At 44.4% G+C, this 17,640-nt stretch overlaps 2 protein-coding genes across 38 annotated transcripts in view, besides 8 other annotated features; one reads left to right on the top strand and one right to left on the bottom strand.

Annotated features, from left to right (window-relative positions):
• The window catches only part of BBOF1 (basal body orientation factor 1), a 63,516-nt gene extending 58,382 nt beyond the window's left edge, over positions 1-5,134 (bottom strand). For 14 of the 24 annotated variants that reach the window (XR_007064048.1, XR_007064049.1, XM_011537171.3 and 11 more), the window contains exons 1-2: positions 4,949-5,134; positions 1,339-1,567 (exon numbers count right to left, since the gene is read on the bottom strand). Coding sequence is in view for 13 of the 24 variants with exons in the window: in XM_011537171.3 (XP_011535473.1) it covers positions 1,339-1,567; positions 4,949-5,004 (285 nt within the window). In the remaining 11 variants the exon portion in view is untranslated. Of the gene's footprint in view, positions 1-1,334; positions 1,568-4,092; positions 4,144-4,948 lie in introns of those variants that run through there. The other 10 variants (XM_017021660.2, XM_017021661.2, XM_047431781.1 and 7 more) reach the window with 3 other exon arrangements.
• Positions 2,383-2,677: an enhancer, noted in NCBI's record as "tiled region #10298; HepG2 Activating DNase matched - State 5:Enh". NCBI's record gives its function as "activates a minimal TATA promoter and a strong SV40 promoter by Sharpr-MPRA in HepG2 cells {active_cell/tissue: HepG2}" and the evidence as "EXISTENCE:reporter gene assay evidence [ECO:0000049][PMID:27701403]".
• Positions 2,383-2,737: a biological region, named in NCBI's record as "Sharpr-MPRA regulatory regions 4216 and 10298".
• Positions 2,443-2,737: an enhancer, noted in NCBI's record as "tiled region #4216; HepG2 Activating DNase unmatched - State 5:Enh, and K562 Activating DNase matched - State 5:Enh". NCBI's record gives its function as "activates a minimal TATA promoter and a strong SV40 promoter by Sharpr-MPRA in HepG2 cells, with weaker activation in K562 cells {active_cell/tissue: HepG2 | K562}" and the evidence as "EXISTENCE:reporter gene assay evidence [ECO:0000049][PMID:27701403]".
• Positions 5,018-5,267: a silencer, noted in NCBI's record as "silent region_5926". NCBI's record gives its function as "represses an Ori minimal core promoter by ATAC-STARR-seq in GM12878 lymphoblastoid cells {active_cell/tissue: GM12878}" and the evidence as "EXISTENCE:reporter gene assay evidence [ECO:0000049][PMID:35858748]".
• The window catches only part of ENTPD5 (ectonucleoside triphosphate diphosphohydrolase 5 (inactive)), a 63,960-nt gene continuing 51,514 nt past the window's right edge, over positions 5,195-17,640 (top strand). For 8 of the 14 annotated variants that reach the window (NM_001382258.1, NM_001382262.1, NM_001382259.1 and 5 more), the window contains exons 1-3: positions 5,195-5,233; positions 8,553-8,659; positions 13,333-13,392. The gene's annotated coding sequence lies outside the window, so the exon portion shown is untranslated. Of the gene's footprint in view, positions 6,010-8,552; positions 8,660-13,332; positions 13,393-16,670; positions 16,788-17,640 lie in introns of all 14 variants that reach the window. The other 6 variants (NM_001321985.3, NM_001321987.3, NM_001382256.1 and 3 more) reach the window with 4 other exon arrangements.
• Positions 5,298-5,367: a silencer, noted in NCBI's record as "silent region_5925". NCBI's record gives its function as "represses an Ori minimal core promoter by ATAC-STARR-seq in GM12878 lymphoblastoid cells {active_cell/tissue: GM12878}" and the evidence as "EXISTENCE:reporter gene assay evidence [ECO:0000049][PMID:35858748]".
• Positions 5,378-5,517: a silencer, noted in NCBI's record as "silent region_5924". NCBI's record gives its function as "represses an Ori minimal core promoter by ATAC-STARR-seq in GM12878 lymphoblastoid cells {active_cell/tissue: GM12878}" and the evidence as "EXISTENCE:reporter gene assay evidence [ECO:0000049][PMID:35858748]".
• Positions 5,543-5,837: a silencer, noted in NCBI's record as "tiled region #8014; HepG2 Repressive DNase unmatched - State 1:Tss". NCBI's record gives its function as "represses a minimal TATA promoter and a strong SV40 promoter by Sharpr-MPRA in HepG2 cells {active_cell/tissue: HepG2}" and the evidence as "EXISTENCE:reporter gene assay evidence [ECO:0000049][PMID:27701403]".
• Positions 5,558-5,627: a silencer, noted in NCBI's record as "silent region_5923". NCBI's record gives its function as "represses an Ori minimal core promoter by ATAC-STARR-seq in GM12878 lymphoblastoid cells {active_cell/tissue: GM12878}" and the evidence as "EXISTENCE:reporter gene assay evidence [ECO:0000049][PMID:35858748]".

The following is a 17,640-nucleotide window of genomic DNA, read 5'->3' as shown; positions in this document are numbered from 1 at the left end:
AAAATAATAATAAAGTAATAATAATATGAGACAGAGTTTTGCTCTGATGTCCAGGTTGGACTGCCGTGACATGACCATGGCTCACTGCAGCTTCAACTTCCTGGGCTTAAGTGATCCTCCCGCCTTAGCCTCCCGAGTAGCTGGGACTACAGGTGCACACTGCCACGCCTGGCTATTTTTTACTTTGTGTAGAGACTGGGTCTTGCTTTGTTCCCCAGGCTGGTCCTGAACTCCTAAGCTAAGTTATCCTCCAGCCTCTTCCTCCCAAAGTGTTGGGATTATAGGCATGAGCTACCACACCCAGCCTGAATTTCCACTTTTAACACCCACTAGGGGTGTGACTTTGGGCAAGTTACCTGTCCTTTCTGAAAGTCAATTTCTTCATCTGTAATATGGAAATAACAATATTATAGCTACATGGGGTCATAAAAATAATTAAATAGGAGGTTAGTAAAAGAATCAAGAGAGGTAAAGCACCCAGTATAGTACATTGTAGTGGCTCCAAAATGTTAGTTCCCTTCCCTTTTTCTTTTCTTTTCTTTTTTTTTTTTTTTTTTGAGATGGAGTCTCTCGCTCTGTCGCCCAGGCTGCCAGGCTGGAGTGTAATGGTATGATCTCAGCTCGCTGCAACCTCTGCCTCCCGGGTTCAAGCAATTCTCCTGCCTCAGCCTCCCGAGTAGCTGGGACTATAGGCACATGCAGCCATGCCCGGTTAATTTTTTGTATTTTAGTAGAGACGGGGTTTCACTGTGTTGCCCAGGCTGGTCACGAACTCCTGGGCTCAGGCAATCTGCCCACCTCAGCCTCCCAAAGTGGTGGGATTACAGGCGTGAGCCACCACACCCGGCCTCCTTTTTTCTTCCAAATATAAAATGATAGCTTTACTCTCAACACTTTAATAAGGTACAATAAGATACAAGATTCAACTGGCCAAAAATAAAAATAAAGATTCAACTTGCTGGGTTCAGAAAGTTATCATGGATTATCAGTGAACTGCTTTACAAATTTTTAAAACTAAAAATCAGCATCAAAAAATATATAGATCACATACCATGCTCTTATCCTTAAAATAAAGTAGATCATAAAGTTCCCTTATGATCATCAATCTCTGTTTGCTTCAGACAAGAAAACATGCAACAAGGATTGAAAATAAAAGAGAGCCGATAACAGTAAAACCATTCTGAAAAAGTGTCTTGCTTCAAACAGAGTTAAGGTCAATTGAAATGTCTTAAGTATATGTTAAGATTTCAAGGAATTAAAAATCTTTGAAATACATAACCACATCAGCATCACCATAGAGGTAGTTAATGAGGCCAAGGAGGCTTTCTACCTACCTACCATATTATCTTTCTCCTGATCCTGCTTCTTCAGGTAACTTAATACTGACATTATGTCTTTCTCCATTTTACATTGCTTTTTCTTTAAGTCCTCATTACTTTTTGCCAGTATCCGTGAAGTATCACGATACTTAATCCTAGAGAGTTCTGTGACTTCCAACCTGGCCTCCCAAAGGGAGGCATTGGCCTTGGCTCTGTCCACCACAGATTCATCTGTTTTTATTAACTTCCTGCATGGGAAGAGGATATTGACAGTATATGACTATTTATACAACTCTAATATGCAGATAGTATATAACTCTATTATATTACTATTAAATTTTTCTCTTTTTTTATTTGTTTTGCTTGGCATTGCCTGGCACACATGATCAAATATTGTTGGAAGAATAAGTTAATAAGAAATACATATTCACATTTGAAAAAAGAAAAAAAAAGAAATACATATTCACTTGTATTCACATAAGATAATTAAGTAAGTGCCTCTTCCTGGAGGAGGGGAGTCCTGGAGCATAACTCGAAAAGACTGGTAAAACAAAGGGAAAAGACAGGATAAGCCAAACTCATTTCAGAAAGCTTTCATATCTTTTTTTTTTCTTTTTGAAACTGGGCCTGGCTGTGTCACCGGGCTGGAGTGCAGTAGCACGATCTCGGCTCCCCAGAACCTCTGCCTCTTGGGCTCAAGCCATCCACCCACCTCAGCCTCCCAAGTGGCTGGGACTACAGGTTCATGCAACTATGCCCAGCTAATTTTTGTACTTTTTGTAGAAATGAGTTTTTGCCATGTTGCCCAGGCTGGTCTTGAACTCCTGGGCTCAAGTGATCCTCCTACCTCAGCCTCCGAAAGTGCTGAGATTACAGGTGTGAGCCACTGCGCTTGGGCAGTTTTTATACCTTTTCATTTACTTATTTGATTCTCCCATATTTATTTTTTTTTTAATAGAGATGGGGTCCCACTATGTTGCCTATGCTGGTCTCCAACTTCTGGGCTCAAGTATCCTCCCACCTTGGCCTCTCAACGTGCTGAGATTACAGGTGTGAACCAGTGCCCTAGCCTGATTCTCCTGTAGTTAAACTATCTTTTCTATTCCTACTCACTCAGTGCTGGACTTTGGTTCTCTCCACTGCAAACCCATTATCTCTGTTCAGTTTCTGCATGATGATACCCATTGGTAGTATAACTGTGATCTCCCACCCACTTTACCCTCCACTTTTGAGTGTGTTTTTTTTTTTTCTGGGGGAGGGACGGAGTCTCACTCTTTCACCCAGGCTGAAGAGCAGTGGCGTGATCTCGGCTCACTGCAAGCTCCGCCTCCCAGGTTCATGCCATTCTCCTGCCTCAGCCTCCCGAGTAGCTGGGACTACAGGAGCCCGCCACCAGGCCCGGCTAATTTTTTGTATTTTCAGTAGAGACGGGGTTTCACCGTGTTAGCCAGGATGGTGTTTTTGTTTTGTTTTGTTTTGGGCTAGGTCTTGGACAAAAAGTCAAGTCACTAGGGCAAATACGTTAAATAGTTTATCAGCTGGTGCCACAGTTCACCGGACTTTTTTTTTTTTTTTGAAACAAGATCTTGCTCTGTCATCCAGGCTGTAGTGCAGTAGCACCATCACAGCTCACTGCAGCCTCAACCTCCCAGGCCCAAACGATCCTCCACCTCAGCCTCCTAAGTAACTGTGACTACAGGCATGAGTTAGCATGCCCAACTAATTTTTAATAAAAATTTTTGTAGAGACAGGGTCTTCCTATGTTGTTCAGGCTGGTCTTGAACTCCTGGGCTCAAGTGATCTTCCCCTGCTCAGCCTCCCAAAGTGCTGGGCATGAGCCACGATGCCCCACCCACCGGGCTTTAAGGATGCCTGAGAAACCATAATCATTTATATAGAGGTGGAGAGGAAAAAGGATGGATTCAAAGATTAAAGTGGTAAAGGAAGAGATTTTTCTAAATATTTATTGTATAAGCATTAACAAAACACTCCCCCTTATATATGGTAGGTACCATGATATATAAATATGTACATATTTAAGAATATTTCACCTGTATTTGAATTCTAAATATTTTCACACATATGTACATGTGGACCTTTCTATACTGCCACCCTCCACATCCACTTTCCTACCTCTGGTTCTCAGTCCTCTTCCACAGAGGTAATGGGTTTGCAGTGGAGAGAACCAAAGTCCCACTTTCACCTTTTGTTCTCTTCAAATTAAGGCCAGCTCCATTCCCAACCCCTCAGCCTGTTATAGCTGTTGATGTCCCTTTCTGGCATGATTTAGGCACTAGTGATACACTGTCTCACTACGACCATCCAGGTATCAGGTCTGAGTGGCTCGAAGTACTTGATGCGACAGGGCATGGTGGCTCACGGCTGTCATCCCAGCACTTTGGGAGGCCGAGGCGGGTGGATCACCTGAAGTCAGGAGTTCGAGACCAGCCTGGCCAACATGGTGAAACCCTGTCTCCACTAAAAATAAAAAAATTAGCTGGGCGTGGTGACGGGTGCCTGTAATCACAGCTACTCGGGAGGCTGAGGCAGGAGAATTGGTTGAACCCAGAAGGCAGAGGTTGCAGTGAGCTGAGATCGTGCCATTGCACTCCGGCTTGGGCAACAAGAGCAAAACTTGGTGTCAAGAAAAAAAAAAAAGTACTTGATGCAAGAAATTAGACACTCTAATAGGACCACTGATACTCACTGTAGAAACAAAGCCAGGTTTCTCAAACAATGGGTCATGGAAAATCCAAGGAATAAGGTCTCTTACCCTTAGTGTTCCTCATTGTTCAAATGTGTACTGTAGAAGCATGGTCAAAATCTGAAAACATATGTTAGTGAGTTCTAGGAATGTGATAAGCCCTTGGCACTTTAAGGGCTAGACTAACTGTGCAGTTATGTAAAAACAAAAAAAAAATACCATAAAAGAATACTTACATTAACAAATGGGAAGAAAAAAGCCACATATAAGTATGTACATTGGGCTATCGTTTTATTAAAAAAGAATACTCCAAAATATAGTAGTGTTTATTTTTGGATAATGAGACTACAGGTGATTTTTGTTTTTTCTTTTGGTACTTCCCATGTTTCCCAAACTTTCTGTATTGAGCATGAATTACTCTCTTAAGTTACTTTACAAACATCTCAAGTTTGGTGCCAACTCTGTGTTCCCATATATGGTGTTGTTGCTGGACACCACGTATGACTCCAACGTGTCCAGAAACCACCGGGGTCCCCCAATAGGGCTAGTAGCAATCTAGCAGCAACTCCAGGCCTGTAAGGGGTTAGTGCTAGAACATTACCCACCTCAGTGGCTCTGATCAGTTTGGGAAAACCTCAATAATTATCCAACTTGGTAAAATACTTTAGGTGTCCCCTTTGAACCAAAAGAGATCTCTGAAAAGGCCCAAGGAACTACTTTATACATCCTCTACACGTTTAAGATAATCTGAACACATAGTAGAGATCTGCCAGACTATGGACATGGGAGCTGTAATCCTCACAAGCCGGGAGAGCCGGGGAGAGGGTCCGAGTGGGCCGGCGCGGGGGGCGCCAGGTTGCCAGCCCCAGACCCGAAATCCCAGGCAGGCCCAGGGAGAGGGGACTCTCGGGTGGCTTCTCCTTACTTCGTGTCTTTGCCTTTGCTCTTGCCTTTCTTTTTGTCCTTTCCCTTCGACGGCATCTTGGCTTCCCCAGGGGCTCCGCTGTCGTAGTTGCCCAGCCGCGGCCGCCCTGGCCAGCTCTGTCTCCAAGGGAACCGGGACGCCGAGCTGGCAATGCCCCACCCGCGCCGCTGACGGCGCGCGGAGAGCGCACGCGCCCGTGACGTAGCCCAGGCGCCGCGGCGCGCGGGGTGGGGCGGAGGTCGCGCCGAGGGCGGCGGGCTGCCGCGCAAGGGTGGCGCGCGCGCGGTGAGTGTGCGAGTGTCGGCGGCGCCGGATCCTCTACGTGGGGCCCGGGCTCTGCGGGCGGGAGGCGGGAGCTGGCAGCCCCAGGCGGTAGCGCTTCGTCCTGCGGCCTGGGTGTGTCAGGAGTCGCTGCGGTCGGGGCGCCCTTGCCTCAGGAGACTTAGATCCCCGCTGATCCGCCCGTCCCGCCGCAGTGGTCTGAGCCGCAGCCCTTTCCCGTGCCGCCCGCGGGTCCCGTTCCTCCCGTGTCTCCATGCCGCAGCCAGCGTGGCCGCGGCTACCTTGCCCTCGCCCCCGCTCCGCTTCTGCCGCTCCCGGCACTGCCTTACTCCTTTGGGTTGCATCTCTTTCCTGGCTTTTCACCCTTGCTGATTCTGTAAGGGATAGTGCAGCCAGCGGACGTCCCAGGCCAAATGTTTTTTGATAGGCAGTCGAGGACTTTCCCGAGGGCGGTGGTTGAGGGCGAGGCTGCCAGCCTCCGAAGAGCAGCGGCACGCCAGGGAGCCGGGCGGGGAGGGGAGTGCTGCCACCGAGGTCGGGAGCAGGGTCCTCGGCCTCACTAGGTCCTGTGTGGCCGATACTTCCTGCCCACGACCGCCCCCCGGATTTCCATTTGCTAATACCGGTCCGCAGCCTTCTTTCCTGAAAGTTGCATAAAGTTGGAAGCTCTTCAACTTGCCTCCCCGACTCCTGAAATCCCGAATACACCTCTGAAAAGGAGTGTACTCACAAGTATTCTCATTTTTCAATGAGAGTCAGTCAGTGAGTCATTAAGGAAGGTACGGTATTCTGAGTGCCAAGCCAATAGTTAGGAGACTTGTGGTTGAAGCTCTGCTCTGTTATACTCCATTTCAAATTAAAAAGTTTATTTTAAATGTGGTTGTAGATCCTTCGTCACCATTTCTCTAGGGAGGACTTAATCCGTACACTCCTTCCCGATGTCTTTGACCTCTAATTACTCCCCTCCGCCTTGTTTCCCACTTGCATAGTTTCTGTTTCTGAATTTCTGTTTCTTCTGAGGGAACATGCCGATTTGGTAATGATAAGCCTTGTAAACTTTTTTTTTTTTTTTTCTGAGAGAGAGTCTTCTGTCACCCAGGCTGGAGTGCAGTGGGGCATCTCGGCTCCCTGCAACCTCCACCTCCTTGGTTCAAGCGATTCTCCTGCCTCAGCCTCCCCAGTAAGTGGGACTACAGGTGCATGCCACCACACCCGGCTAATTTTTGTATTTTTGGTAGAGATGGAGTTTCACCATGCTGGCCAGGCTGGTCTCGAACTCCTGGCCTCAGGTGATCCACCTGCCTCGGCCTCCCAAAGTGTTGAGATTACAGGCGTGGGCCACCGCCCCGGCTGTAAACCTTTTTTTTGAGACAAGAGTTTTGCTCTTGTTGCCTAGGCTGGAGTGCAATGGCGCAATCTCGGCTCACCACAACCTCTGCCTCCCGGGTTCAAGCAATTCTCCTGCCTCAGCCTCCCCAGTAACAGACTATAGGTGCGTGCCACCATGCCAGGCTAATTTTTGTATTTTTGGTAGAGACAGAGTTTCACCATGCTAGCCAGGCTGGTCTTGAACTCCTGGCCTCAGGTGATCCACCCGCCTTGGTCTCCCAAAGTGTTGAGATTTACAGGCATGAGCCACCGCCCCCGGCTGTAAAATTTTTTTTTTTTTTTTTTGAGACAGAGTTTTGCTCTTGTTGCCCAGGCTGGAGTGCAATGGCACGATCTCGGCTCACCGCAACCTCCACCTCCCAGTTCAAGCGATTCTCCTGCCTCAGCCTCCCGAGTAGCTGGGATTACAGGCACACACCACCATCCCTGGCTAATTTTGTATTTTTAGTAGAGACAGGGTTTCTCCATGTTGGTCAGGCTGGCGTAAACCTTATTATACATACCATCTGCCAGCATGATCATGGCTTTTTCTTTTCTTTTTTTTTGAGATGGAGTTTCGCTCTTGTTTCCCAGGCTGGAGTGCAATAGCACGATCTCGGCCCACCGCAGCCTCCACCTCCCAGGTTCAAGCAATTCTCCTGCCTCAGCCTCCCGAGTAGCTGGGAATCCAGGCATGCGCCACCATGCCCGGCTACTTTTGTAATTTTAGTAGACACGGGGTTTCTCCATTTTGGTCAGGCTAGTCTCGAACTTCCAACCTCAGGTGATCCGCCCGCCTCGGCCTACCAAAGTACTGGGATTACAGGCGTGAGCCACCACGCCTGGCCGATCATAGCTTTTTCTGAGTGTATTTCTGGTATACTTTCACACTCCCGTGAGTCCATAGGCGGAATCGCCATATATTGAAGAGTTTATCTCTGATGTAAAATCTATAAAGTTACCATTAATTTTGTATGTGTAAGGTTCTGAAAAAGCACACTGTTGATAAGCTGCAGAAAAGAGAGTAGGGCATCTTCTGTCACAGGCTGTATATTTGGAATTTATTCTAGAAATTGGTAACTTTATAATATGAAAGTCAGTCCAAGACTCCTCATTTGAACATAGGCTTACAGATTAATGTATGAACATAAAAATTTGACTATAACAAGATTATTAATGTATGCGTAGTACCTTAGTTATAGTACTTTATAGTTTCTTTTATTGGTTTTTGGGTTTTTTGATGGTTTTTTTGAGATAGGGTCTTACTCTTAACCATGCTGGAGTACAGTGGCAGGATCATGGCTCATTACAGCTTCGACCTCCTGGACTTAAGTGATCCTCCCACCTCAGCCTCTGGCATAGCTGGGACTGTAGGCATGCACCACCATGCCTGGCTAATTTTGTATTTTTTGTAGAGACAGGGTTTTGCCATGTTGCCTAGGCTGGTCTTGAACTCCTGAGCTCAGGTGATCCTCCTGCCTTGGCCTCCCAAAGTGCTGGGATTACAGGCATGAGTCGCCACACTTGGCCTAGTTTATTTTATTGTATTATATATATTTTTTATTGACTAAGTTTGATTTTGTAGATAAAGCTGTTGTGACATGAATATGGCTCAGGGAAATGCCAAGATTTCATACTCTGGTAGAGGTGGATATAGAGTCTACATTCTTCTGAATCCCCTCATTTTCTACCAAAGAACTGGATGTTGTTACTGTCATCTGCTGGTGAGCAACAACTGATAGTACAGATAGTAGAGTAGGAAGTTGCTATTTAGTAGTTTATCTGGTAGCATTTCCTTCCACAGTTACTGGTAGGTGCCTTTACTATGAAGTTCCAGGAATTATTACTAAATAAATTTTCCTTGTTTCATTGTTTAGAACACTAATGCTTTTAAACTTGGAATAAGCCACTTCATGTTTTGTTGACTTGGTTTTGTAATTCTTTTTCTGTCCAGTTTTCCTTGTTCCTGGTCAACAAAGAAATGTGGAGTGTCTTGGCTGAATCCTCATACAGACAAGATCATTATGGTGCTGTTAGGTAGGACTTGTATCCAGATGTAAGGTAATATCTCCACTAGCTTAAATTTATAAATGTATTTCAAATGTTCCTGAATGGTGGTTTTCTTTTTTTCCTGAATTTAATTCTCTGTTTTTTGCCAAGTGATGTTAATTTTGTCCAACAAGCCATATATAAAATTTAGAACTATTATGTATCAAAATAGATAGAATTTCTGGCTGGTCATGGTGGTTCATGCCTGTAATCCTAACACTTTGGGAGGCCAAGGCAGACGGATTGCTTAAGCCCAGGAGTTCAAGACCAGTCTGGACAACATGGCAAAACCCTGTCTTTACAAAAAATACAAAAATTAGCTGGGTGTGGTGGCCATGTACCTGTAGTTCCAGCTACTCAGGAGGCTGAGTTCAGAGGATCACCTGAGCCCAGGGAGATCATGGCTGCAGTGAGCCGTGCCACTGTATTCCAGCCTGAGCAATGGTGTGACTGTTTCTCAAAAAAAAAAGGGGGGGCGGGGGGTGGGTAGTACTTCTGCTTTTTTCTTCTAGTAGGTCCAAAACTGGGTTTACTTTATAAATTCATCTATAACTTTATTCGGGTTTACCTTAGAGGCCATGTTTCCCTTCATAAATCATTCTTGAGATCACCTTATAGCAGATGGTACTTTATAGGTGGATCAGTCTAAGTGAACAACTTTAGATTTTGTTTCTACATAGCCTTTAGAATCCTGAATAAATATATTATTATCCAAACTGTTTCTTATGGGAGTTACTTTCTTTTTTTTTTTTTTTGAGAGGTAGTCTTGCTCTGTCGCCCAGGCTGGAGTGCAGTGGCACAATCTTGTCTCACTTCAACTCTGCCTCCCAGGTTCAAGCAATTCTCCTGCCTCAGCCTCCCGAGTAGCTGGGATTACAGATGCCTGCCACCATGCCCGGCTAATTTTTGTATTTTAGTAGAGACAGGGTTTCACCCCCATGTTGGCCAGGCCGGTCTTGAACTCCTCACTTCAAGTGATCTGCCTGCCTCGGCTTCCCAAAGTGCTGAGATTACAGGCTTGAGCCACCACACCTGGCCAGGAGTTACTTTCATCCTGCTTTTTTATTGCATGTGCTGCAAATATAGAATTCTACTAAATTGACATTTTCTCGTGATATTAAGACTAGTTCACATCTCTGCAGGGGCATTTTAAGAAATCCTGGCGGTCAAGGATTTAATCTTATCACTTTTAGATAAATTTTTAAAAATTTAAAACATTCAATGTTTTACTTATATACAAGATATGTTACCACAGATAATTATTTGTTTATTTATTTGTTAATGAATGACAGGGTCTCACTATGTCACCCAGGCTGGAGTGCAGTGGTGCAATCATGACTCACTGCAGCCTTAACCTTCTGGGGTCAAGCAATTCTCCCATGTCAGTCTCCTGAGTAGCTAGGAGCACAGGCTTGTGCCACCATGCCCAGCTAACTTTTTTTTGTGGGGGGGGGGAGTAAAGACTGGATCTCACTCTGTTGCTACTGGGCTCAAATGGTTCTCCTACCTCAGGCCCCCAAAGTGCTGGAATTATAGTTGTGAGCCACTATGCTTGGCCATATATTTTTGAAATGGGGTTTTGTTATGTTGTCCAGGCTGAACTTAAGCTCCTGAGCTCAAGAGATCCTCCTACTTCAGCTTCCCAAGTAGTTGGGACTACAGGCGTGCACCACTATGCCTACAAATAATCATTAACTACTGTTCCTTTATTTGCAAAATATCCCATTTTTATTAGTTGTCCATCCCAACAGAGCCACAGACTAAAAGTTCTCTAAGAAAACTTACCTGGACTGGGCACAGTGACTCACATCTATAATCCTAGCATTTTGGGAGGCCGAGGTAGGAGGATTGCTTGAGCCTAGGATTTTGAGACCGGCCTGGACAACATAACAAGACCCTGTCTCTATTTTTTAAAAAAAGCAATGAAAAATTACCTAAGTTTTAGGCCCACTTGTCTGCATTTTTATGTCATGGATCTGTCAAATGTTCATTCATTTAAGAAACATTTAATGAATACCAACTGTATAACAGCCTGTCTGATAACTTCATGGGTACAGTAAGGAACAAGAGAAGGCCCTTGCCCTCAAATTGTTTACAGTCAGATGTATAAAGCTCTGACCTGGATGTTGATCTCTGAGAATATACAACCTTATTGTCACCCATACACAAACACTTAACAGTAAACAGTACCAAGCAGGGATTGATAAAGGAGAGATGGTGTAGACCAGGGGTGTTCAATCTTTTGGCTTCCTTGGGCTACATTGGAAGAAGAAGAATTGTCTTGGGTCACACATAAAATATACTAACACTAATGATGGCTGATGAGCTTAAAAAAAAATCACAAAAAAAGATCTCATAATATTTTAAGAAAGTTTACAAATTTGTGTTGGGCTGCATTCAAAACCATCCTGGGCTACATGCGGCCCATGGGCTGTGGGTTTTGACTAAGCTTGGCCCAAACCCTAGGTGCTATAGAATTTGGAGGCATTTAAGACTGTCGTAGTCAGGGAAAGTTTATAGAAGGAGATGGACTGAAAGGAGAGGGAAGTTCCTCTGGGAAGTTAGAACAATGTGAGCACAATTCAGAGTATGCTTAAAATAGGGAGTAGTTTAACTCTAGCATTGGTTCCTAAAGTGTGGTCCACAGACCGGTAACATCAGCTTCACCTGGTAACTTATTAGAACTACAGTTTCACAGGCCCCACCTGAGACCTACTGATTCAGAAATACTGGCAATGAGGCCCAGCAGTCTATGCCCTCCAGGTGGTTCTGATGCGTGCTAAAGTTTCAGAACCACTAGACTAGAGCAGAGGGTTATTGTATGGAACAAGTAGGCAAAACACTCTAAAAAGGTAGGCTGGGAACTCATTGTGAATGACTTAGAATGTCAGACAGGGAGTTTGTCTTTTATCCTGCAGACTAGAGGCCCCAGCTTGTGACTTGAGGGCTGGACTTGGCTCATAGAATGTGTTTCGTTTGGCCTGAATGGTAGGTTTTTGGGGGTTTTTAAATGGAATTAGTTGTCATCATTTAAAAATCAGCAGATTTTACAAAGAAATCTGTGCTTTCAGCTTACCTTGAAAAATCAGAAGACCTGGCAGTATGGAGCCTACATTCCATTATGGTAGCAGTTGGTGGGAATAGCAAGAAGCTGCCCCTTTAGATGGGACACATGCTCTCCAGTTTACTGCAATCCCCACCGGTTCCTTTTGTCTTACACACACCTTTACTCATTTATATTTCCTGCCTGGTGCCTGTAGGTGTTTGAGTTTGTAACTTCTGTTGTGGACAGTGGGACATTAATGAAAATTTTGAGAAGCAGAGTGATGAGATTTATGTATTTGTTAATTTATTTAACAAACATTAATTAAACATATATGCCAGATTGTACTCTGTTAAGTAATCAGTGTTCAAAGATGAATGAGTCCCAGCTGGGACCGGTGGCTCATGCCTATAATCCCAGCACTTTAGGAGGCGAAGTCTGGTGGATCACTTGAGGTCAGGAGTTCAAGACCAGCCTGGCCAACATAATGAAACCCCCCCCTCTCTACTAAAAATAAAAAATTAGCCGGGGATGGTGGTGGGCACGTGTAATCCCAGCTACTTGGGAGGCTGAGGTGGGAGAATTGCTTGAACCCAGGAGGCGGAGGTTGCAGTGAGCCGAGATCATGCCATTGCACTCCAGCCTGGATGACAGAGTGAGACTCCATCTCAAAAAAATAAAAATAAATAAAATACATGTTTACTTTGGAGACCTTATAGTTAGAATTTATAACATGGGTTGCGTGAGTCAAATCCATAATTCAAATCCTGTCTTGAATGTGTAATCTTCAGATTTATGTTGCATAGGTAAGTTTAACTTTTTTGTTCCTGAGGGAATAGAAAATAATATATAAACTCAAATTCTTAAGTGATTCTTTCACCTCAGCCTCCCAAAGTGCTGGGAGTATAGGCATGAGCCACCAAGCCCCCATCTGCTTGGTCCCTTTTAACCACATACTCGTGCATGTAATAGTAAGTAGCCACTCATTGATCATACTGTGGAACATATGGCTGACATTTTAACAGCAAAAAAAGACCTCACATCTCGGCTCACTGCAACCTCGACTTCCCATATTCAAGCAATCCTCCTGTCTCAGCCTCCCAAGTAGCTGGGACTACAGGCACATGCCACCACACCTGGCTAATTTTTTTTATATTTTGTAGAGATGGAGTTTCGCCACATTGCCCAGGTTGGTCACAAACTCCTGAGCTCAAGCTGTCTGCCTGCCTTGACTTCCCAAAATGCTAGGATTATAGGCGTGAGTTGCTGCGCCCAGTCTGTGTACTTTACTTATGAATTAGCTCCTTGGTCATTGCCTTCTCCACCTTTACACACACATATACACCAGCTTCTAGAGGGAGTGTGACTTGCTTCTCTTGCTGTTGGTGACTTTTTAAATGAGCTGGATGTGTGGTAAAGTGGCTGAGGTTGTAGTTTGAGTGAGAAGAAAGTGTAGGGGAGCAGAAAGAGCTGAAGGGCATTAGACTACAACTCAGGAGATGAGCTTGGTGATCTGGGTTCCAAAGCCTGAAAAGATTAGAAATGAAAATGTGGAAGAGATAACTGAGTCAAAAGTAGGCATACTGACAGCAGAGAAAAAGAGGAAACTGTTCTTATAATTATTCATGTCCATCTTACACAGGTTGAAAAAGTGATATAATAAAGGAACCAAGGAGAAAATTCAGAAGGAAAGAAAAAATTGGTAAGTAACATATATAAGTAATACTTCACTTTTTCATAGGTCAGATTTCTGCAAATTCTGCTTTGTTGTTCCTAGCTGAGAGCTCACAGTAGATGGAAAAGGGTCCATAAGGCACTGAAAGAGCTGTCACAAAGTGCAGTACCCTTATTCTGTTGGAGAGGTCTTCATTTGCTTATGTTGACATGAAATTCTAATAATTATGGCTTCCTGATTTACATCCTACAACAGATTTAAAAAGAAAATTAGGAGGTAATGGTGGTTTATTGAAGGAGCTGGGCACATGACAGTACTGATCAGTGAAAATATATAGCATGATGTCAGAAAAAACTAGCTCAAAAAGGATAGCAATCTGGGACCATTTGGTGACAGAAGGGCAAACAGTCCTGTAGACCTACTGTAGCCCTTGGAGGCATCTCAGGTTTACAGGAAAATATAACTGATAATCATAATCATGACTTTGAACTATAAATAAAAGTGGTTTTCCCTGTAGGAAATTATATAATTCACAATGGAAACACTTTTTATTTTTTTTTTTTGAGATAGAGTTTCGCTCTTGTTGCCCAGGCTGGAGTGCAATGGCTTGATCACGGCTTACTGCAACCTCTGCCTCCTGGGTTCAAGCGATTCTCCTGCCTCAGCCTCCCGAGTAGTTGGGATTACAAGCATGGGGCACCATGCCTGACTAATTTTGTATTTTTAGTAGAGACAGGGTTTCTCCATGTTGGTCAGGCTGGTCTCAAACTCCCGACCTCAGGTGATCTGCCCACCTTGGCCTCCCAAAGTGCTGGGATTACAGGCGTGAGCCACTGCGCCTGGCCGAAAACACTTTTACCAAACACTAAGTGTTATAGTGGAGCCAGGTGCAGTGGCTCACACTTGTAATCCCTTGAGAGGTTTGGGACTTGGGAGGCTGAGGCTGGTGGATCATTTGAGGCCAGGAGTTTGAGACTGTCCTGGGCAACATAGCGAGACTCCTTTCTCTATAAAAAAATTGAAAACACGGCTGGGTGCGGTGGCTTACGCCTGTAATCCCAGCACTTTGAGAGGCCGAGGCAGGCGGATCACGAGATCAGGAGATCGAGACCATCCTGGCTAACACGGTGAAACCCTGTCTCCCTAAAAATACAAAAAATTAGCTGGGCGTGGTGGCGGGCACCTGTAGTCCCTGCTACTCAGGAGGCTGTGGCAGGAGAATGGCTTGAACCCAGGAGGTGGAGCTTGCAATGAGCCGAGATCATGCCACTGCACTCCATCCAGCCTGAGCGACAGAGCGAGACTCCGTCTCAAAAAAAAAAAATCGAAAACATGCAAAAATTATCTGGGTGCAGTGGTTCATGCCTGAAGTCCCAGCCCTCTGGGAGGTTGAGGCAGGAGGATTGCAGGAGTTTAAGGCCGCAGTGAGCTGTGATTGCTCCACTGCAGCCTGGGTGACAGAGCAAGACCTTGTCAATAAAATTAAATTTTTTTAAAAACCCCAAGTTTTTTTGGTATTTAGAAGGAAAGCATTTTAAAGCCACATTTGGTGGGGGAAAGACAAATTTGGGAAAATGTAATTATGGGGAACCCCTATTCCTTCCTTTATACATGAAACTATCATTGTAATATTTTTATCTTTGGCATGTTTTTCATTTTGATTTAACATGTTTGAAGCAGTAGCTATTTTTCAGTTGATAACAAGAAAGGGAAAATGTTTTTATTCTCTTCCCACAGTTAAAATCCAATATAAACGGTGCCCAGTGGCACTGATCCTAGTGGCAGTTACTCTTCTGTAAATAGTGCCTCCCACAATGGATATGGGTTTGGAGGCAGACAGAGCTTATCACCTCAGATTTTCATTCTGATTTTTCATTGGGGCAATATGAACCCCCTCCTGAATGACAGTATCTTCTTATCTAAAGGACTTTGATTCTTAATGAATGGGCAAGAAAAGACCTTCTGGTTTGTGAAGAAAAAGAGGCAACAATAGCAACAGCTTTCCTCCAAGTGATTATTGTAGCAAAGTCAAGCCTGAAACAATGGAGAATGAAGTTATGCCTGACTCATTTTGTTATTACACCCAAATGAGTTCATTGTACAGAATGGGCCTTTTTGACACGTGTCTAATGATATTTTGATGCAAATGAAATAATACACATAAAAAATGACCTGTTTACAGGAAAGACTGATGTATTTGTTGATAACTACCAGTGACATCAATTCTCATTTCTTTATTGGCAGTTACAGTATTTGAATTTAGGGTTAGACCTTAAAGGATATATCCAGCCAGGCATGGTGGTATAAGCCTATAATTCCAGCTACTCAGAAGGCTGAGGCAGGAGGATCACTAGAACTCAGGAGTTTGAGACCAGTCTGGGCACAAGAAGACCCTGTCTTAAGAAAGAAAAAATAAAAGTCTAGGCCAGGCGCAGTGGCTCATGCCTGTAATCCCAGCACTTTGGGAGGCCGAGGCGGGTGGATCATGAGGTCAGGAGATCGAGACCCTCCTGGCTAACACTGTGAAACCCCGTCTCTACTAAAAATACACAAAAAGTTAGCCGGGCATGGTGGCAGGCACCCATCGTCCTAGCTACTTGGGAGGCTGAGGCAGGAGAATGGTGGCGTGAACCTGCGGGAGGCGGAGGTTGCAGTGAGCCAAGATCGTGCCACTGCACTCCAGCCTGGGCGACAGAGCGAGACTCCGTCTCAAAAAAAAAAAAAGAAAAAAGAAAAAATAAATAATAAAAAATAAAAGGCTATATCATTTGACAAGCCGTCTGATCAGTGAATCTGTTCTGGAAACATGATCAGATTTGGAGCAAAGACCCTTCCCTCCCTACCAGTTTGAGACAGCTCATATTGTTGGAACTTAATTCTGTTCAATCCCTCCCCCAGGAGGTTCCATGCTCACTGGTCTTATTATATGTAAGTCTTTGACAATGATCTAAGAAAAGCTGAGTTAAAAAATTTTTTTTTTCTTTGTCTGGGGGTGGTGGCTTATGCTTGTAATCCCAGCACTTTGGAAGGCTAAGGTGGACGCATCACTTGAGGTCAGGAGTTCAAAACCAGTGTGGCCAACATAGTGAAACCCCATCTTTACTAAAAAATACAAAAAAATTAGCTGAGCATGGTGGCGGGTGCCTATAATCCCAGCTTCTGGAGAGGCTGAGGCAGGATAATCACTTGAACCTGGGAGGTGCAGGTTGCAGTGAGCCAAGATCACACCAGTGCACTCCAGCCTCAGTGACAGAGTGAGACTCCATCTCAAAAAAAAAAAAAAAATTTTTTTTTTTCAACACAAGGTCTCACTCTGTCACCGAGGCTGGAGTACAGTGGTGCAATCACAGCTCACGGCAGCTTCAAACTCCTGGGCTCAAGCGATCCTCCTGCCTCACCCTCCCGAGTAGCTGAGACTACAGGTATGTGTCACCATGCTCAGCTCAAAAGCTGACTTTTAAATAAACCTTTTTATTAGTTTTATTGACTTGAAAAATATTGCTATAAAATTTTTCTATGGTTTTCAAATCTGTTCCAGTTGTCAGTCTTGTCCCTTTTCACCAAATACCTCTTCAGTACCTAATTTTTTTTTTTCCAAGGTGGAGTCTTGCTCTGTCACCTAGACTGGAGTGCAGTGGCGTGATCTCAGCTCACTGCAACCTCTGCCTCTTGGGTTCAAGCAATTTCTTCTGCCACGGCCTCCTGAGTAGCTGAGACTACAGGCATGCGCCAGCATGCCCAGCTAATTTTTTATATTTTTAGTAGAGACGGGGTTTCACCGTGTTAGCCAGGATGGTCTTGATTTCCTGACCTCGTGATCCGCCCTCCTTGACCTCCCAAAGTGCTGGGATTACAGGCGTGAGCCACCGCGCCCGGCCATACCTAATTTTTTTCTAAGAGACAGGATCTTGCTATGTTAGCTTGGCTGGCCTTGAACTTCTAGGCTCAAGTGATCCTCCTGAGTAGCTGGGACTACAGGTGTGTGCCACCATGCCCAGCTAGTACCTAATTGTTAATGCTACCTGATATGATTGGAAGTTTTTTTCTGTATGTAGCATAAAGTTTCTATTCTGCCAATACAAGTATTTTCTTTCATTCTGTATCTTTGTTGATTTAGTGTTTAATTTCAGATTTATTATTTAATTCTTAACTGATATGTATCTTCAAAACAAATACAGTGACTCATTTATTTTCTTCCTACTCTTTCTTAACTATATCTGACTTTTAGTTGAATAATAGGTGGGGTAGCTCAGGCCTGTAATCCTAATGCTTTGG

This window comes from Homo sapiens, chromosome 14 (genome assembly GCF_000001405.40).
Source record: "Homo sapiens chromosome 14, GRCh38.p14 Primary Assembly".
In the NCBI taxonomy this organism is placed as follows: domain Eukaryota; kingdom Metazoa; phylum Chordata; class Mammalia; order Primates; family Hominidae; genus Homo; species Homo sapiens.
The sequence above is the reverse complement of the archived record's forward strand: the minus strand, read 5'-3'. Positions and strand labels throughout refer to the sequence as shown.